The following is a 22437-nucleotide window of genomic DNA, read 5'->3' on the forward strand; positions in this document are numbered from 1 at the left end:
TGGTGAATCCCTGTCTCTACTAAAAATATAAAAATTAGCTGAGGGTGGTGGTGCGTGCCTGTAGTCCCAGCTACTCAGGAGGCTGAGGCAGGAGAATCGCTTGAACCCGGGAGATGGCAGTTGCAGTGAGCCAAGACTGTGCCACTGCACTCCACCCTGGCAACAGAGCAACACTCCATCTCAAAAAAAAAAAAAAAAAAAACCAAGGCCCTTAAAAGTTATATTAAATCTACTCTGCCAGTGCTCTATAAATGAAACAACGAAACTTGGATGATGGCACATCTGTTTACAGAATTGTTTACTGAATATTTTAGGATCACTGTTGAGACCTATTGCTCAGAAAAAAGATTCATTTCAAAATATTGCTCATTGACAATGCAGCTAGTTACCCAAGAATTCTGATGGAAATGTACAAGGAAATTAATGTTGTTTTCATGCCCACTAGCAAAAAATCCATTCTGCAGTCCATGAATCAAGGTGTAATTTTGACTTTCAAGACTTAGTATTTAAGAAATACTTATTTCCTAAGGCTATAGGTTCCATAGATAGTGATTCCTCTGATGGATCTGGTAAAGGTATATTGAGAACCCATAAAGGATTCACTATCCTAGATGCCATTAAGAACATTTGTAATTCATGGGAGGAGGTCAAAATATCAACATTAACAGGAGTTTAGAAGAAGTTGACTCCAGTCCTCATGGATGACTTTGAGGGGTTCAAGATTTCAGTGGAGGAAGTCACTGCAGATGTGGAAGAAATAGCAAGAGAAGTAGAATCAGAAGTGGAACCTGAAGATGTGACTAAATTGCTACACTCTCATGATGAAAATTGAATGGATAAGGTGGTGGTTTTTTTGGTTGGTTTTGTTTTGTTTTGTTTTGTTTTGTTTTGTTTTGTTTTAGAGATAGGGTCTCACTCTGTCACCTAGGCTGGAGTACAGCAGCATAATCATAGCTCACTACAGGCTCAGACTCCTGGGCTCTAACAATCCTCCCACCTCAACTTCCCAAGTAGCTAGGACAACCAGCAAGCACCACCACCACACCCAACTGATTTTTTTCCTGTAGAGATGAGATCTCACTATGTTGCCCAGACCAGTCTTAAACTCCTGGCTTTAAGCAATTCTCCTCTGTTTTAGTCCGTTTTCACACTGCTGTAATGACATGCCGGAGACTAGGTAATTTGTAAAGGAAAGAGGTTTGACTCACAGTTCCACATGGTTGGGAAGGCCTCAGGAAACTTACAATCATGGCAGAAGGGGAAGCAAGCACATCTTACATGGCAGCAGGCAAGAGAGTGAGCGTGTGTAGGAAGAGGAATAGTCAAACACTTAGAAAACCATCAGATCTTGTGAGAACTCACTCACTGTCACAAGAATAGCATGGGGAAACCTCCCTCATGATACAGTCATGTCCCAACAGGTCCCTCCCTCAACATGTGGGGATTGTGGGGATTTTGGGGATTACAATTTGAGATGAGATTTGGGTGGGGACACAGAGCCAAACCACGTCATCCTTCCTCAGCCACCCAAAGCACTGGGATTACAGGTGTCAGCCACCATGCCTAACCTGGAATTGTTTCTTATGGATGAGCAAAGACAGGGTTTTCTTGAGATGAATGTACTCCTGGTGAAGATGCTATGAACATTGTTGAAATGACATCAGCTAATTTAGAATATTACATCAACTTACTTGATAAAGCAACAGGGTTTAGGAGGATTGACTGCCATTTTGAAAGAAGTTCCACTGTGGGTAAAATGCTATCAAACAGCATGGTATGCTACAGAGAAATCTTTCTTAAAGCGTTAACAGATACCAGGCATGGTGGTTCACGGCTGTAATCCCAGCATTTTGGGAGGCTGAGGCGGGCAGATCACCTGAGGTCAGGAGTTCGAGACCAGCCTGGCCAACATGGTGAAACCCTGTCTCTACTAAAAATACAAAAAATTAGCCAGGCGTGATGGCACATGCCTGTAATCCCAATCCCAACTACTTGGGAGGCTGAGGCAGGAAAATCACTTGAACTCAGCAGGCAGAGGTTGCAGTGAGCCAAGATTGCACCATTGCACTCCAGCCTGGGTAACAAGAGCAAAACTCCATCTCAAAAAAAAAAAAAAAAGTTAACTGGTATAGCAGATTTCATTGTTGTCTTATTTGACTAAGTTGCTGTGGCTTCCCCAGCCTTCAGCAATGACCAACCTGACTAGTCAGCAGCCATCAACAACAGGGAAACCTCTTCCACCAGCAAAAAGATTACAAGTCACTGAAGGCTCAGATGGTTGTTAGCATTGTTTAACAATAAAGTATTTTTTAATGAAAGTACATACATTTTTAAGACATAATGCTATTGCATATTTAGTAGACTACAGTGTAGTATAAAGTTATCTTCTATGTGCGCTGGTTAATCAACAATTTTGTGGGACTTACTTTATTGAAATATGTACTTTATTACAGTGGTCTGGAACCAAACCTGTGATATCTCCAAGGCATGCCTTTATGTACCGCCTCTGTCCTGAGGAGACCTCCCCAGGTCTCTGATTCTGTTGTGCGTTTTATTCTGGCATCTTTCTTCTCATATTGCTAGGATCTTTTATTGTCCCACAAATCCAAATATTCTCTACTTTTTGGAGGATACTAGCATCTTTTAAAAATGATATTCTCATTGTATTTCCTGCATAGTTTAATAAACCAGTAATTATTTTGACCATCTTCAGCAATTCTACTCTCACTGCCTCTTTTAGGCCTAGCATTTACACTTCTGATTGGGCACTTTGGGTTTATATTAAGCAGCTCCTAAATTCACCTACCTATAGAAGGAGTCACAGATACAAACCTTTGTAAGAGTTACTCATAGTAACATTTATATTCTAAAATCATTAGCTGGGTGTGATGGCACGTGCCTGTAGTCCCAGCCACCTTGGAGGCTGAGACGGGAGGCTTGCTTGAGCCTATCAGTTTGAAGGGCTGCAGTGAGCTATGGTCACATGACTGCCCTCCAGCCTGGGTGACAGAGTGAGACCCTGTCTAAAAAAAAACAAAATACAAACAAAAAAAAATCAGTTATGACTCAGCACTATAATGATTAGTTCTAAGTGTCTCTAAAAAACAATGTTTCGTTGCCAGGTGCGGTGGCTCACGCCTGTAATCCCAGCACTTTGGGAGGCCGAGGCGGGCGGATCATGAGGTCAGCAGATCAAGACCATCCTGGTTAACACGGTGAAACCCCATCTCTACTAAAAACACACACAAAAAAATTAGCCAGGCGTGGTGGCGGGCGCCTGTAGTCCCAGCTACTCAGGAGGCTGAGGCAGGAGAATGGCGTGAACCCTGGAGGAGGAGCTTGCAGTGAGCCGAGATCGCGCCACTGCACTCCAGCCTGGGTGACAGAATGAGACTCTGTCTCAAAAAAAAAAAAAAACAAAACAATGGTTCGCAAGCTTGAACACACACCTGGAACTCGTTAAAACACAGATTTTTGGCTCCAATCCCCAGGGTCTCCAATTAGGTCAGTCTGAGGTAGGCCCCACTTGCTGCTGCTGCTGCTGCTGCCGCTATGCAATCACGTTTTGAGAACCACTGTTCTAAATCATGGCAAGCAATTTGCACCCTTTCAAGCATAAGCAGCCTACCTGGCTTCCAGATGTAGCCCATCAACTACGAGTTCAGGAGGAAAGACTAGAAAAGTACTTTTGTGTTGTGCTATGGTTTGAATGTTTGTGTCCCCCTAAAATTCATGTTGGAACCTAATGCTCGATGTGAAAGGATTAAGAAGTGGGGCCTTTGGGGAAATGATTAAGTCATAAGTCATGAAGTCTCCATTTTTATGAATGGGAGTAGTGCTCTTATAAAAGAGGTTGAAGGGAGCTGCCTTGCCCCTTCTACCATTTGAGGACACAAACCATCTCTAAAGCAGACGGTGGGCCTTTACCAGACACTGAATCTGTTAGCACTTTCACCTTGGCCTTCCCAGCTTCCAGAACTGTGAGAAATAAATTTCAATTATTTATAAATTAGCTAGTCTATTTTATTTTGTTATAGCAGCCTTCACGGACTGAGACATGTTGCTACTTAGCACATGTGGTCTAACCTAAATGAAAAGCTGTAACAATTTTTCCCTTGGTATTTTTCCTTCAATAAGGAAAAAAATCTAAGCACTGATCTTAGGAGCAGTTTAGGGATGGTCAGAATCTTGTAGCCTCCAGCTGCAGGACTCCTAAACCATAATTTCTAATCTTGTGGCTAATGTTAATCCTACAAAAGCAACCTAGTCCCCAGACAAGAAGGAGGTCGGTTTTGGGAAACGGCTTTCGTCATCTTTGTTTTAAACTATAAATTAAGTTTCTCCCAAAGTTAGTTCAACCTAAATCCCAAAGTGCTGGGATTACAGGCATGGGCCACTGTGCCTGGTTAAAGTGAAACAATTTATGTGACTTTTTTTCATGTGACTCAATAAAACCACTTTATTTTCATAAAATTTTATTTTGTCTGATTGACTGATAAATATACGTAAAGCTTGGTTCTCACTGCTCCAAGCCACAGCCTGACTCCACACAGATAACAGACCATCAGTAATAAAGCCGCATCTCCTAGTCCTTGAGACCTGGGTTTCTGACCTTGAACAGTTTACTTCCATTCTTTTCGTGCCCTGTGTGTGTGTGTGTAATACAGAATGAGGGGTTAACATATATAACCTTCCATATCTTAAAGACTATGGTTCTGGGATTCTAGAGATTAGACTGAAGGAAGACCTTCTTGATCCACAATTATAATGGAAACTGGGATGTGGTGACTGGAATTAGCCAAGAAGATGATTTAACACATTCCTAAAATGACAGATATCTTAAGTAATTTCCCCCAAATGTCATGCTAGCTACTGTGTTGGGAAGAGAAGTCTTTTTTTTTTTTTTTTTGAGACAGAGTCTCGCTCTGTCGCCCAGGCTGGAGTGCAGTGGCACAACCTCTGCTCACTACAGCCTCCACCTCCTGGGCTCAGGTGATCCTCCTATCTCAGACTCCTGAGCAGCTGGTACCCATAGGCATGTCCACTAAAGCCTGCTAATTTTTGTATTTTTTGTAAAGATGAGATCTTGGCATGTTGATCAGGCTGGTCTCAAACTCCTGATATAACTGCCCAAGGGGTTCACCTTGCCCACTGCCTAGACAGAACCAATTTATCAAGACAACGGAACTGAGATAGAGAGTTATTCACACAGAGCCAGCTGTGTGGGAGGCCAGAGTTTTATTATTCCTCAAATCAGTCTCCCTGGGCATTCAGGGAGCAGAGTTTTTAAGGAAAACTTGGTGGGTGGGGGTAAGCCAGTAAGCCGGGAGTGCTGATTGGTCAGAAATGAAATCGTAGGGAGTCTTCAGGCTACACGTGAGGCCCATAATCACATGTAATCATAGCTGTCTTCCTGCACTGAGTCAGTTCCTGGGTCGGGGCCACAAGATCAGATGAGCCAGTTTATCCATCTGGGTGGTATCAGCTAATTCATCAAGTGCAAGGTCTGCAAAATATCTCAAGCACTGATTTTAGGAGCAGTTTAGGTAGGGTCAGAATCTTGTAGCCTCCAGCTATGTGACTCCTAAACCGTAATTTCTAATCTTGTGGCTAATGTTAGTCCTACAAAGGCAACCTAGTCCCCAGGCAAAAAGGAGGTCAGCTTTGGGAAAGGGCTGTTGTCATCTTTGTTTTAAACTATAAATTAAGTTTCTCCCAAAGTTAGTTCAACCTACTCCCAGGAATGAACAAGGACAGCTTGGAGGTTAGAAGCAAGATACGGAGTCAGCTAAGTTAGATCTCTTTCACTGTCTCAGTCATAATTTTGCAAAGGCGGTTTCAATGGGCTCAAGCAATCCACCTGCCTCAGCCTCCCAAAGTGCTGGGATGACAGGCATGAGCCATGCACTTGGTGGGAAGACATAAGGTGAAACATATTTATTTATTTATTTATTTTTTTTTTAGGGATGGAGTCTCGCTCTGTCACCCAGGCTGGAGTACAGTGGCGCAATCTCAGCTCACTGCAGTTCAAGCGATTCTCCTGCCTCAGCCTCCCCAGTAGCTGGGATTACAGGCATGTGCCACATTACCCGGCTATTTTTTGTATATTTACTAGAGATGGGGTTTCACCATGTTGGCCAGGCTGGTCTTGAACTCCTGACCTCAAGTGATCTGCCCACCACAGCCTCCCATAGTGCTGGGATTACAGGCATGAGCCACTGTGCCTGGTTAAAGTGAAACAATTTATGATGTTCTATATACTTTATACCATGTACATACATTAATGTCTTTTTTTTTTTTTTTTTTTTGAGACGGAGTTTTGCTGTTGTTGCCCAGGCTAGAGTGCAATGGCGTGATCTCAGCTCAGGCAACCTCTGCCTCCCAGGTTCAACTGATTCTCCTGCCTCAGCCTACCTAGTAGCTGGGATTACAGGCATGCATCACCACGCCTGGCTAATTTTATATTTTTAGTAGAGACGGGGTTTCTCCATGTTGGTCAGGCTGGTCTTGAACTCCCTACCTCAGGTGATCCGCCCGCCTCGGCCTCCCAAAATGCTGGGATTACAGGGGTGAGCCACTGTGCCCAGCCATTAATGTCTTTTTTAAGTTTCTGGCTAACTCGAATTTCCCTATTAGTTTCCCAGCAGAGAGATTTATCTGGAAACACATTTAAAAGTTGGAAAGTAGACACCAGGTTGATGGGCCTCACATGTGGCCTGAGAGTCTCTGATCTGGCTCAGCAGTTACTGCTGGGCTCAGAAGAGTGTCATTTCTGTATGGATGATCTGTTTTATTATTTTCTTAGCACTTTTACAACAATCCTGTGAGATAGGCAGGGCTTACATCTTACAGAAGAGGAAACTAAGGATGCAAGATGTTACATGACTGCCAAAAGTCATTACTGAGTGAGGATAAACATGTTAAGACCCTTTTATGAAGGATATTTTATAAAGGATATAACCTTGGTCTGGAGATCATTTTTATTTTACTTTATTTTAAAGATAGGGTCTTGCTCTGCTGCCTAGGCTAGAGTACAGTGGCACAATCTAGCTCACTCTAACCTAGAACTCCAGGGCTCAAGCGACCCTCCTGCCTCAGTCTCCTGAGTAACTGGGACTACAGGCATGCATCACCACACTCAGCTAATTTTTTTTCTTTTTTTTTTTTCGAGACAGAGTCTTGCTCTGTCACCCAGGCTGGAGTGCAGTGGCGCTAACTCGTCTCACTGCAACTTCTGCTTCCTGAATTCAAGTGATTCTCCTGCCTCAGCCTCCCAAGTAGCTAGGACTACAGGCACCTGCCACAACGCCTGGCTAATTTTTTGTATTTTTAGTAGAGGTGGGGTTTCGCCATATTGGCCAGGCTGGTCTCGAACTCCTGATCTTGTGATCCGCCTGCCTCGGGCTCCCAAAGTGCTGGGATTACAGGCATGAGCAACTACACCCAGCCTTTTTTTTTTTTTTTTTTTTTTTTAGCAGATACAGGGTCTCACTATGTTGCCCAGGCTGGTGTCAAACTCCTGTCCTCAAGTGATCCTCCCTCCTTGGCTTCCCAAAGTGGTAGTATTACAGACGTGAGCCATTGTGCCCAGACTGGAGATTTTTTTTTTTTTTTTTTTTTTTTTGGAGAGACTAGGAAAAATATAGATACCCTCAAAGCTATCTAGTACAACAGACATATCCCAGAAGCTTGTGAGCTTCTTCTCTACCACTCACCTCCCACCATAACTTAGTTTGTTTTGTCATTATAAGGCAGTTCTTTTTTTTTTTTTTTTTGAGACAGAGTTTCACTCTTGTTCCCAGGGTGGAGTGCAATGGCACAATTTTGGCTTACCGCAACCTCTGCCTCCTGGGTTCAAGCGATTCTCCTGCCTCAGCCTCCCAAGAAGCTGGGATTACAGGTGTGTGCCATCACACCCGGCTAATTTTGTGTTTTTAGTAGAGACGGGGTTTGGCCACGTTGGCCAGGCTGGTTTCAAATCCCTGACCTCAGGTGATCTGCCCTCCTTGGCCTCCCAAAGTGCTGGGATTATAGGCATGAGCCACCACACCCGGCCAAGGCAGTGCTAAGATCTTTGAAGCCATAAACTCTTAGTGGACTGAAAATTTCTTTTTGTGGCAATGCTGACACACAGGGAATCTATAAAAATCATAGATGTTGTACTGTGAAGAAGGTTGAAATAATTCCAGAAAAGTTCATCAAATACCAAAGCATTCTTTGGAAGAAAAGATAAAAAATGTTTAGTATGTGCAAAAAGGATAGAAAACCTATATTAAAGAGAAGAAAGATCTCAAATAAATAACTTAACATTCTGCCTTAAGGAGCTATAAAAAGAAGACTGAACTAAACCAAAGCTAGCAGAAGGAAGGAAATGATAAAGATAAGTGTAGAGAGAAATAAAATCATAAATACAATATAAAGAAAATGAATCAAACCAAGAGTTGATTATTTGAAAAGATCAACAAAAGTGACAAATCTCTAGTTAGCCTAAGATGAAAAAGAGAAACAACTCAAATTATTAAAATCAGAAATGAAAGTGGAAACATTACTAATGACCTTACAGAAATACAATTATAAAAGGATACTATGGGCCAGGCGTGGTGGCTCACGCCTGTAATCCCAGCACTTTGGGAGGCCAAGGTGGGTGGATCACGAGGTCAGGGGATCAAGACCATCCTGGCTAACACAGTGAAACCCTGTCTCTACCAAAAATACAAAAAAATTAGCCAGATGTGGTGGCGGGCACCTGTAGTCCCAGCTACTTGGGAGGCTGAGGCTGAGGCAGGAGAATGGCATGAACCCAGGAGGTGGAGCTTGCAGTGAGCCGAGATCGTGCCACTGCACTCGAGCCTGGGCAACACAGCGAGACTCCATCTCAAAAAAAAAAAAAGGATACTACAAACAATGGTACATCAACAAACTAGAAAACCTAGGTCAGTGTTTTGTACACAGAAAGCTACAAAACATTGCTGAAAGAAATTAAAGAAGACCTAAATAAATGGAAAGATATCCTATGCTCATAAATTGGAAGACTTAATATTATTAAAGTGTCAGAACTCCTCAAAGTGACCTACAGATTCAATGCAATCTCTATCAAAATCCCAATGGCCTATTTATGCAGAAATGGAAAAGCTAATATCAAAATTCATATGGAATTGCAAAGGGCCTTGAATAGCCAAAACAAATGATATGGTTTGGCTGTGTTCCCACCCAAATCTCGTCTTGAATTGTAGTTCCCTTAATCCCCACATGTTGTGGGAGGGACCAGGTGGAGATAATTGAATCCTGGGTGTAGTTTGCCCCATCCTGTTCTCATGATAGTGAGTTAGTTCTCACAAGAGCTGATTGTTTGTTTGTTTTGAGACGGAGTCTCACACTGTCGTCTGGGCTGGTGTGCAGTGGTGCCATCTCAGCTCACTGTAACCTCTGCCTTCTGAGTTCAAGTGATTCTCCTGCCTCAGCCTCCCAAGTAGCTAGATTTATAGGCACCCGCCACCATGCCTGGCTAGTTTTTTTTGTTTGTTTGTTTTGTTTTGTTTTGTTTTGTTTTGTTTTGTTTTATTATCATTTTATTTTTAGTAGAGACAGGGTTTCACTATGTTGGCCAGGCTGGTCTCGAACTCCTGACCTTGTGATCTGCCTGCCTCGGCCTCCCAAAGTGTTGGGATTGCAGGTGTGAGCCACCGCGCCTGGCTGAGCCGATTGTTTTATGAGGGGCTTCCCCCTTCTCTGGGCATCATTCTTCTTGCTGCCACCATTTGAAGAAGGACATGTTTCTTTCCCCTTCCACCATGATTGTACGTTTGCTGAGGCCTCCCCAGCCCTGCAAAACTGTGAGTCAATTAAACCTCTTTCCTTTATAAATTACCCAGTCTCAGGTATGTCCTTATAGCAGCATGAAAACAGACTAATACAGTAAATTGGTACCAGGCAGTGGGGTGCTGCTGTAAAGATATCTGAAAATGTGGAAGCAACTTTGGAACTGGGTAACAGGCAGAGGTTGGAACAGTTTGGAGGGCTCAGAAGAAGATAGGAAAATGTGGGAAAGTTTGGAACTTCCTAGAGATTTGTTGAATGGCTTTGACTAAAATGCTGATAGTGATACAGATAATAAAGTCCAAGCGGAAGTGGTCTCAGACGGAGATGAGGAACTTTTTGGGAAATGGAGTAAAGGTCACTCTTGCTATGCAAAGAGACTGGCAGCATTTTGCCCCTACCCTAGAGATCTGTGGAACTTTGAACTTGGGAGAGATAATTTAGGATATCTGGCAGAAGAAATGTTTAAGCAGCAGACTCCAACAGGAAGCAGAGCATAAAAATTTGAAAAATTTGAAGCCTGACAAGGCAGTAGAAAAGAAAAATCCATTTTCTGGGGAGAAATTCAATCCAGCTGCAGAAATTTGCATAAGCAATGAGGAGCCAAATGCTAATCACCAAGACAATCGGAAAAATGTCTCCAGGGCATGTCAGAGCCCTTCGCAGCAGCCCTTCCCATCACAGGCCCAGAGACCTAGGAGGGAAAAATGGTTTCCTGGGTTGGGTCCAGGACCCCCCCTACTGTGTGCATCACTTGGTGCCCTGCATTCCAGCCATTCCAGCCATGACTAAAAGGAGCCAAGGTACAGTTCAGCCCATGGCTTCAGAGGGTGCAAGCCCCAAGCCTTGGCAGCTTCCACATGGTGTTGGGCCTGCGGGTGCACAGAAGACAAGAATTGAGGTTTGGAAACTTCTGCCTAGATTTCAGAAGACGTATGAAAATGCCTGGATGTCAAGGCAGAAGGTTGCTGCAAGGCTGGAGCCCTCATGGAGAACCTCGGCTAGGACAGTCCACAAGGGAAATGTGGGGTCAGAACCCCCACACAGAGTCCCCACTGAGGCACTGGCTAGTAGAGCTGTGAGAAGAGGGCCACCATCCTCCAGAATCTAGAATGGTAGATCCACTGACAGCTTGTGCCATGAGCCTGGAAAAGCCACAAACACTCAATGCCAGCCTGTGAAAGCAGCCAGGAGGGAGGCTGTACCCTGCAAAGCTATAGAGGCAGAGTTGCCCAAGGCCATGAGAGCCCACTTCTGGCATCAGTGTGCCCTGGATGTAAGACATGGAGTAAAAGGAAATCATTTTGGAATTTTAAGGTTTAATGACTGCCTCATTGAATTTTGGACATGCATGGGGCTTGCAGCCCCTTCATTTTGGCCAATTTCTCCCATTTGAAATAGGGCGAATTTACCCAATGCCTGTACTCCCATTGTATCTGGGAAGTAACTAATTTGTTTTTGATATTACAGGCTCATAGGCAGAAGGGACTTGCCTTGTCTCAGATGAGACTTTGGGCTTGAACTTTTGAGTTAATGCTGGAATGACTTAAGATTTTAGGGGACTGTTGGAAAGGCACTATTGTGTTTTGAAATGTGAGGACATGAGATCTGGAAGGGGCCAGGGATGGAATGATATGATTTGGCTGTGTCCCCACCCAAATCTTACCTTGAATTGTAATTCCCATAATCCCCACATCTCATGGGAGGGACCAGGTAGAGAAAATTGAATGCTGGGGGCAATTTACCCCATCCTGTTCTCATGATAGTGAGTTCTCACAAGATCTAATGGTTTTATAAGGGGCCTTCCCTTTCACTGGGCACTGATTCTTCTTCTCCTTGCTGCTACCATGTGAAGAAGGATGTGTTTGCTTCCCCTTCCACCATGATTGTAAGTTTCCTGAAGCCTCCCCAGCCCTGCAGAAGTGTAAGTCAATTAAACCTCTTTCCTTTATAAATTACCCAGTCTCAGGTATGTCCTTATAGCAGTGTGAGAACAGACAAATACAACAATCATGAAAAAGAAGAACAAAGTTGGAGGACTCATATTTTCTGATTTCAAAACATACTACAAAGCTGTAGTCATCAAAACACTGTGGTGTTGGCATAGAGATTGACATAAAGACCAATGAAATAGAATTGAGAGCCAAAAAATAAACCTATACATCTAAGGCCAATTGATTTTTGACAAGCATGCCAAGACCATTTAATGGAGAAAGAATAGTCTCTTCAATAAATGGTACAGGGACAATTGGACATTTACATCCAAAGAATGAAGTTGGACCACTAACAACGACATACATAAAAATTAACTAAAAATGCATCAAAGACCTAAAAGTAAAAGCTAAAATTATAATATCCTAAGAAGAAAACATGGGGCATATCTTCAGAACCTTGGATTTCACAGCTTCTTAGGTATGACACCAAAAGCAGGAGCAATAAAGAAAAAATAAATGGGACCTAATCAAAATTTAAAACTGGGCATAGTGGCTCACACCTATAATCCCAACACATTGGGAGGCTAAGGCTGGATGACTGCTCAAGCACAGGAGTTTGAGACCAGCCTGAACAATATAGCAAGATGCTGTCTCTACAAAAAAAATTTAAAAATTATTCATGGGCCGGGTGCAGTGGCTCATGCCTGTAATCCCAGCATTTTGGGAGGCCAAGGTGGGTGGATCATGAAGTCAGGAGATCGAGACCACCCTGGCTAACATGGTGAAATCTCGTCTCTACTAAAAAAATACAAAAAACTAGCCAGGCACGGTGGCAGGTGCCTGTAGTCCCAGCTACTCAGGAGGCTAAGGCAGGAGAATGGCGTGAACCTGGGAGATGGAGCTTGCAGTGAGCCAAGCTCATGCCACTGCACTCCAGCCTGGGCGACAGAGTGAGACTCCATCCCCAAAAAAAAAAATAAATTTATTAATCATTCATGGTGGCAAGTGCCTATAGTCCCAGCTACTTGGGAGGAACACATGAGCCCAGGAGTTCAAGGTTACAGTGAGCTATGATTGTGCCACTGCATTCCAGGATAGGTGACAGAACAAGACTCTGTCTCAAAAAAAAAAAAAAAAAAAAAAATTAAAATTTTAAAACTTTAGTACATCAAAGAACACTACCTAGAAAGTGAACAGAAAACCTACTAAATGGCAAAAATAATTTCAGAGCCTGTGCAGTGGCTCACACCAATAGTCCCAGCTACTCATGAGGCTAAGTTGAGAGAATTGCTTGAGCCCCAAAGTTTGAGTCCAGCCTGGGCAATATAGTGAGATTCCTGGCTCTAAAATAAATACAATAAAATAAAAATTTGTTTAAATTATTTATAAACCATACATCTGATAAAGGTCTAATATCTGAAATATTTTTTTAAGCTGTTACAACTGGACAACAATTAGACAACCCAATTCAATAACAAGATAGAACATGAATAGACATTTCTCCAAAGAAGCTATACATGGCTAACAAGCACATGAAAAAGTGTTCTACGAAGTCATGTCTCTCACAACATGGATGGCACTGGAGGCTGTTGTCCTAAGCAAATCAATGCAGGAAAAGAAAACCAAAAACCGCATGTTCTCACTTATAAGTGGAAGCTAAACATTGAGTATACATGGACACAAAGACAAGAACAATAGACACCAGGGCCTACTTGAGGGTGGAGGCTGGGAGGATGGTGAGGATTGAAAATCTACCTATCAGGTACTCTGCTTATTACCCAGATGACTAAATAATCCGTATACAAAACACCCATGACACACAATTTACCTATTGTATTAGTCCTTTTCATGCAGCTAATAAAGACATACCAGAGACTGTGCAATTTACAAAAGGAAGAGGTTCCAAAACACCAAAAGCAATGGCAACAAAAGCCAAAATTGACAAATGGGATCTAATTAAACTAAAGAGCTTCTGCACAGCAAAAGAAACTACCATCAGAGTGAACAGGCAACCTACAACATGGGAGAAAATTTTCGCAACCTACTCATCTGACAAAGGGCTAATATCCAGAATCTACAATGAACTCCAACAAATTTACAAGAAAAAAACAACCCCATCAAAAAGTGGGCGAAGGACATGAACAGACACTTCTCAAAAGAAGACATTTATGCAGCCAAAGAACACATGAAAAAATGCTCATCATCACTGGCCATCAGAGAAATGCAAATCAAAACCACTATGAGATATCATCTCACACCAGTTAGAATGGCAATCATTAAAAAGTCAGGAAACAACAGGTGCTGGAGAGGATGTGGAGAAATAGGAACACTTTTACACTGTTGGTGGGACTGTAAACTAGTTCAACCATTGTGGAAGTCAGTGTGGCGATTCCTCAGGGATCTAGAACTAGAAATACCATTTGACCCAGCCATCCCACTACTGGGTATATACCCAAATGACTATAAATCATGCTGCTATAAAGACACATGCACACGTATGTTTATTGCGGCATTATTCACAATAGCAAAGACTTGGAACCAACCCAAATGTCCAACAATGATAGACTGGATTAAGAAAATGTGGCACATATACACCATGGAATACTATGCAGCCATCAAAAATGATGAGTTCATGTCCTTTGTAGGGACATGGATGAAACTGGAAACCATCATTCTCAGTAAACTATCACAAGAACAAAAAACCAAACACCGCATATTCTCACTCATAGGTGGGAATTGAACAATGAGATCACATGGACACAAGAAGGGGAATATCAAACTCTGGGGACTGTGGTGGGGTGGGGGGAGGGGGGAGGGATAGCATTGGGAGATATACCTAATGCTAGATGACGAGTTAGTGGGTGCAGCGCACCAGCATGGCACATGTATACATATGTAACTAACCTGCACAATGTGCACATGTACCCTAAAACTTAAAGTATAATAAAAAAAAAAAAAAAAAAAAGAAAGAGGTTTAACTGGACTCACACTTCCATGTGGCTGGGGAGGCCTCACATTCATGGCAGAAGGCAAGGAGGAGCAAGTCATGTCTTACGTGGATGGCAGCAGGCAAACAGAGAGCTTGTGCAGAGAAACTTCCATTTTTAAAACCATCAGATCTCATAAGACTCATTCACTATCATGAGAATAGTGCAGGAAAGACCTGCCCCTATAATTCAATCACCTCCCACCAGCTTCCTCCCACAACACGTTGGAATTGTGAGAGTTACAATTCAAGATGAGATTTGAGTGGGGACACAGCCAAACAATATTATTCTGCCCCTGGCCCCTCCCAAATCCCACGTTCTCACATTTCAAAACCAATGATGCCTTCCCAACAGTCCCCCAAAGTCTTAACTCATTTCAGCATTAACTCAAAAGTCCACAGTCCAGCATCTCATCTGAGACAAGGCAAGTTCCTTCCTCATATGAGCCTGTAAAATCAAAAGCAAGGGGATGAGTGTGGTAGCTCATGCCTGTAATCCCAGCACCTTGGGAGGCCAAGGCAGGTGAATCACCTGAGGTCAGGAATTTGAGACCAGCCTGACCAACATGGAGAAACCCCATCTCTACTAAAACTACAAAATTAGCCAGGCGTGGTGGTGCATGCCTGTAATCCCAGCTACTGGGGAGGCTGAGGACAGAGAATCACTTGAACCCAGGAGGCGGAGGTTGCAGTGAGCCAAGATCATGCCATTGCACTCCAGCCTGGGCAACAAGAGCAAAACCCCATCTCAAAAAAAAATAAATAAATAAAAATCAAAAGCAAGTTAGTTACTTCCTAGATACAATGGGGGTACAGGCATTGGGTAAATACACCCATTTCAAATCAGAGAAATTGGCCAAAACGAAGGGGCTACAAGCCGCATGCTAGCCTGAGATTCAGCGAGGCAGTCAAATCTTAAAGCTCCAAAATGATCTCCTTTGACTCCATGTCTCACATCCAGGTTACGCTGATGCAAGAAGTAGGTTCCCATGGTCTTGGGCAGCTCCGCCCTGTGGGTTTGCAGGGTACAGCCCTCCTCCTGGCTGCTAAATAAAAGTTGGTAGGAAAAAGAGGAACAAATAAAAGAAAAGATGTTCTAGATTATTAGTCTTTATAGAGAAATGCAAATTAAAGCCACAATGAGATAGCATTTCACACCCATGAGAATGGCTATAATTTTTTTAAATGAAAAATAAGTGTTGGCAAGAATGTAGAGAAATTGGATTCATCATACGTTGCTGCTGGGAATGTAAAATGGTACGGCCACTATGGATAACACTCTGGTGGTTCTTCAATTACTTAAACATAGAATTACGATATGACTCAGCAATTCTGCTCCTAGGTATATATCCAAAAGAATTGAAATCAGATATTCAAACAAATACTTATACAGGAATGTTAATAGCAGCACTATTCACAAAAGCCAAAAGGTGGAAAAAAAACAAATATTCTTCAACAGATGAATGGATAAACAAACATGGCATATTCATACAATGGAATCTTATTCAGCCATAAAATAAAACTGATAACATGCTACAAACATGTTTTGAATGAACTTCAAAAACATTATGTGAAGCAAAAGGTCACATCTTGCATGATTTCATTTATATGAAATATCCAGAATAGGTAAACTCATAAAGGCAGCAAGAAGATTAGTGGTTGCTTGGGCTGGGGGAGAGTGGGAATGAGGAGTGACTATTTAATAGTATAGAGTCTCTTTTGAGGGTGATGAAAATGTTTTAGAGCTTTTAACAGATAAAAAGCAATGATTGCACAACATTGTAAATGTACTAAATGCCTCAGAACTATATCATTTTAAATGGTTAATTTTATGTTACATTAATTACCCCTAAATTAAAAAAAAAAGACAAATTGGACTTGCTTCTATATTTTCAGAAAGGCAACTGTCTTCTCTTCCCAGATCCAGTAACAAGATACAAGACTACATGGAACCTCCGTGCTTTCAAAAAACACCTGCGGCTGGGCGCGGTGGCTCACGCCTGTAATCCCAGCACTTTGGGAGGCCGAGGCAGGAGCATCACCTGAGGTCGGGAGTTCGTGACCAGCCTGACCAACATGGAGAAACCCTGTCTCTACTAAAAACACATAATTATCCCGGCATGGTGGCACATGCGTGTAATCCCAGCTACTCGGGAGGCTGAGGCAGGAAAATCGCTTGAACCCGGGAGGTGGAGCTTCCAGTGAGCCAAGATGGCACCACTGCACCCCAGCATGGGCAACAAGAGCGAAACTCCGTCTCAAAAAAAAAAAAAAAACACTTCCCTACATGTATAAAAAATGACTTCATTGATTTAGCAACTACTCTGTGGAGCTGATATTCAGCTCAAACCACTATTATGGATTACACTGGTGCTGAAATGCAGGAATATTTCTGACTGGCTGAGCATTTTTTTATGCCTGTGCTATACTGGGGTTAAATACTTGACATCAGCCTGGTCACTCTGTGTCAGGCTCTGTTCTGAGCACTGAAGATATGGTAATGAACAAATCAGACAAAACTCCCAGCCCTCCTGAAGTTTACATGCCAGTGGGGGATGAGAGAAAAGAAACAATGAAAAAGTAACTGTAGCATGTTAGATATAGATAAGTTTTAAGGAGAAAAACAAATAGAAAAGGAGATAAGAACTGTTAGAAATTATGTTCCCAGTCATGGCAGAGGAGCTCCTATGAGACTAATCCTGCTGCAGGTAACAACTGTAAATTCTGGACCAAAAAAAAAAAAAAAATCAGGCCGGCGCGGTGGCTCACGCCTGTAATCCCAGCACTTTGGGAGGCCGAGGCGGGCGGATCACGAGGTCAGGAGATCGAGACCACGCTGGCTAACACGGTGAAACCCCGTCTCTACTAAAAATACAAAAAAAAAATTAGCCGGGTGTGGGGGCGGGCGCCTCTAGTCTCAGCTACTCGGGAGGCTGAGGCAGGAGAATGGCGTGAACCTGGGAGGCGGAGCTTGCAGTGAGCCGAGATCGCGCCACTGCAGTCCAGGCTGGGTGACAGAGCGAGACACTGTCTCAAAAAAAAAACAAAAACAAAACAAAACAAAAAAAAACCCAAAAGCAACCAGACTGGAGAGAGACCCAAAAAAGGCACATTCTGAGGGGTTTGAGAGCTGTGCACCAAGGCACAGACCAGGTGCAGTTTATTAGTTCAAAGAATCCAAGGACAGAGTTCAGAGAAACCATAGCAGCTGGAAACTGAGAAGAGAAATCCAGGAAAAGGGAGAGGTAGAGAGGAGAAGCTTCAACTTCTCTGGGTATTACCCTTTCGCTGAACCTGGCTGACGTCTGAACCAGGCACATATGCCAACTCCAAGCTGCCCAGATAAGGTTAAAATAACCAAACTAAAATTCTGCCACTCACTGCAAGGAAAAAAGTGAAACTGTTGTGTTCAGCCAAGGCAACCAACTGATTTATTTAAAAAATAAAAATAAAAAACAATACTATTCAGAGGCTCTAAAAGAATCCAACTCAAACTCCGGTGTGTTAAAAGCTATCTTCCTACCTACTGCACCTTACCTCTTTACAATCTATTTAATCTCTTTTTAAGCTTTGTTAGATGGGAATGAGAAAATTAGCACATCTTTCTGGAAAACACTGTAGCAAAAAGTAACAAGAGTTTAAAATTGTTTGTACCTTTTATCCTTCCTGGGACAAGAGGACACCTTTACAAATTCACTTCTTGCTTTTAGGTAAGTAAAGGAAGGGCAGAGAACTTTTCTTGTATCTGCTTCCTCTCAGTTGCCTTCAGCTCAAAATAATCTTCATGCCAAAGTGGCATATTTTGGGTTTGCATATTCTGCTACTCTTAAGTTTTTAATCATAGCACTATTTTTCATTTGTAAAATTGCATATTACCTACGAGACAGGGAAAGATTTAAAAGTTTCATAAAATGCTATGTTGGAAAGGCTTATTGTTGATATTGAGTTGTTGTTGTTGTTGTTGTTGTTGTTTTTGAGACAGGGTCTCACTCTGTCAACCAGACTGGAGTGCAGTGGCATGAACACAGCTCAGTGCAGCCTCAATCTCCTGGGCTAAAGTGATCGTCCCACCTCAGCCTCCCATATAGCTGGGACCACAGACATGCGCCATTACACCTGGCTAAGTTTTTAAATTTTTTCTAGAGATGGGGTCTTGCCCACACCAGTCTTGAACCCCTAGACTCAAGCAATCCTCCCATCTCAGCCTCCCCAAGTGCTGGGATTACAGGTGTGAGCCACTCTGCCCGACCGATACTGAGCTTTTCATTGCAACAATTCTAATGAGGGCAATTTAGCAATAATCAACCAGAATTACAAATTTCCTGCAATTCCACATCTGGGAACTTATCCTACAGATATACTCACATATATGTGAAACTACCTATGTGCAAGGTTACTCATTGCAGTGATATTTTTAACAACGCAAATTTGGGAACTACTGAAACCATCCATCAGTGAGGGATTGGTGGCCAGGTGTGGTAGTTTGTGCCTGTAATCCCAGCACTTTGGGAAGCCAAGACTGATGGATGGCTTGAGTTCAGGAATTCAAGACCAGCCTGGGCAACATGGTGAAACCCCATCTCTACAAACAAAGTACAAAAATTAGCTGGGCATGGTGGTGCATGCCTGTAATCCCAGCTACTTGAGAGGCTGAGGTGGGAGGCTCGCTTGAGCCTGGGAGGTGGAGGTTGTGGTGAGCCGAGATCAGCCACTGCACTCCAACCTGGGTGACAGCATGAGACCACATCTCAAAAAAAAATAAAAGAATTGTTGATACTATAAAACAATGGAGTATTATTATTCAGCCTTAAAAAATAAAAATAAAAATGCCAGGTGCAGTGGCTCACGCCCATAATCCCAACACTTTGGGAGGCTGAGGTGGGCAAATCGCCTGAGCTCTGGAGTTCGCGACCAGCCTGAGCAACATAGTGAGACCACCGTCTCTACAAAAAATACAAAAAAAAATTAGCCAGGCATGGTGGTGCATGCCTGTAGTCCCAGCTACTCGGGAGGCTGAGGCATGAGAATCGCTTGAACCCAGGAGGCGGAGATTGCAGAGAGCCAAGATGGCACCACTGCACTCCAGCCTGGGGGACAGAGCGAGACTCCATCTCAAAAAAAAAAAAAAATTAAAATTAAAAAATAATAAAAATAAGGATTCTCCTTAAGTACTAACATTGAATCATTGCCAAGATATATAAAGTAAAATAGGCAAGGCACAGAACAGTATTAATTGTTCCCTATTATTCTTTCTCCCTTCTTCCAAAAGTTTTAGCCAGACACATGACCATCAGGAGTAGACTACATTTTCCAGTGTCCCTTGCAGCTAAGAGTGGCTATGTGATTGAAGTCTCCTCAGTGAGATATGAGCAAAACTATTATGTGGCAGCTTCCAGGTCCCTTCCTTAGACAGAGGTATTATGTGGCCTTTGTTTCTCCATTGGACACATTCTTCATTGGATACACTCCATCCTGCTCCCGGGAAAGTAGTTCTCTCATCTTGGTTCATGATTGAACTGGAAGAAAACCAAGTCCCTTTTGGAGCTCACACACATCACAACTCTGGACCACTCTTGGAATTTCGCATGACAGTGATATAACCATCTTTTTTAAACCATTATTATTTGGGGTTTCAGTTATTTGAAGCTGAACCCAGACCTATCTCTTACACAAGTATAAATTTTGCAAGACTTATATCTGGCTAAATTGCCTGCAGAAAGATTGTGTCAATTTGTGCTGCAATAAGTGCTGTATAAATGTGTACAGAGCTTTTTTTTGCCACACTGTGCCATCTCCTGGATACCAGATGCCAACTGCTCGCTGGATCTAGAGACAGGTAAAAAGAATCTACAAATGTGACCTGGATGCCAGGACAGGCAGAGGCACCAGTACCAGCAAGAAGCTTCAGAAATAGAGTAGTTATTAAAATGACCATTTGCAGTGAGAAAATAAATCACTACAAACTACCAACTACCAGAGGCTAGGAGATTCAGGTCCCTTACTTGTGACATCTCTTTAGGCAATTTATCATAAATGCTTTTATATGGATGCATCCTGCTTACAATCTGGCTTCCCCTTCCGCTTAGGTCACCCTTTAACTCTCTGTAAGTCCCAGCACCCACAGAATCTGAGCAAGTGAAGGACCAGGAATTTTAAACCTCAGTAAAGTCCACCGTGCTGTTAATGTTAATCTGCCCTGAGCAGACACACCTTGTAAATACTCTGAGAATAAGGTTCAAAGTACCAAGGGCACTTGAGGAGGACATGGCTTTGCTTCAGTCAGGGAAGATTTCCTAGAAAAGTTAATGCTTAACAGAAGCCAACAAAGAAATGAGTGAAAAACGGAAGAGGAACTAGGATTTCTGCCCAGTTGGGAATTTTGGCGTTTACAAAACACCATTGAAACACTGACTCAATTATCATCTTCCTCCTGGAAAGACAGAAGTCTTCCCTATGATGTTAAAGAGGACACATTTTCTTTTTTTTTCTTTCATCTAATTCTCAAAATAGTTTCTTTCTTTTATGTTTTAGATTCACTTTTTCCATCTGTTTTTTAATCTTTTCAGTATAATGCCCATTCTTAAAGACCAAGAGATTAAAATTGAACACCAGCTTTCATTAGCATCCAGGTCAAAAATATATATTAATATGTGCATTTCTAAAGGTAAAGTTCTAGTTAGGTCATGCTCTAACCTATAGACATGAACACTCATAAAAGGGAATTTGTTAGGAGGCCAAGGTGGGCGGATCACCTGAGGTCAGAAGTTTGAGACCAGCCTGACCAACATGGTGAAACCCCATCTCTACCAAAAATACAAAAAATTCGCCAGGTGTGGTGGCAGGCGCCTGCAATCCCAGCTACTTGGGAGGCTGAGGCAGGAGGATCGCTTGAACCCAGGAGGCGGAGGTTGCAGTGAGCCGAGATCGTGCCACTGCACTCCAGCCTGGGTGCGACAGAGCGAGGCTCCATCTCAAAAAAAAAAAAAAAAAGAGAATTTATCATAGCTGAGGTCCGTGTTGTCATGGAGACAGAGGTAAGGGCTCCTCTGACAGATGTTCTCGTTCCTTTTGATTCCTTACTCTTCATTCTCTTTTCTTCTCTAACTACAGGATTCCATATATACCTCCTCTGACCTAACTCCTAAAGTTTTTCTGACTTGACCCTTTTCTCATTCCATGTGCTATCTCTCTGGATCATCTTATCCACTACCCTTGTAAACTGTTATCTTTAAATAGAGGATTTTCAAGTCAACGGCTCCAGCCAGACTTCCACCCAGCTCCAAGTCTATGTTTCCATCGGCCACCTTGACATCTCCTCTCACACTTCTCCTGGTGCATCAAACCTCTCCCAGTCAGACTGCGAGAAAACTCAGTCATTATTGACTCACTCCTCTTCCTCATCACCATATTTGATCAATCACCGAGTTCTATCATTTCACCTTTGCAATGCCTATTCTCTTCATCTGCCCAGAATATGGGTAAGCAAGCCCCAATCATTTCTCACTCGACTTTTCAGGAATCTTGCCAACTCCAATTCCTTGCCTCATCAATGGATGCTTTTCGTTAGGGAGGCAAGATGGCACAAAGTGGCCAGGTTCCAACCAGGGTCAAATAGAATCTCTGCTCCCCTGCTTTGTGCCTCCTAGCAAGTCATCTCCTCCAGCTAAACCACAACTGCTTTATGTAGAAAATGGGGCAATA

The sequence above is a fragment of the Homo sapiens genome, chromosome 9 (assembly GCF_000001405.40).
Source record: "Homo sapiens chromosome 9, GRCh38.p14 Primary Assembly".
Lineage (NCBI taxonomy): Eukaryota > Metazoa > Chordata > Mammalia > Primates > Hominidae > Homo > Homo sapiens.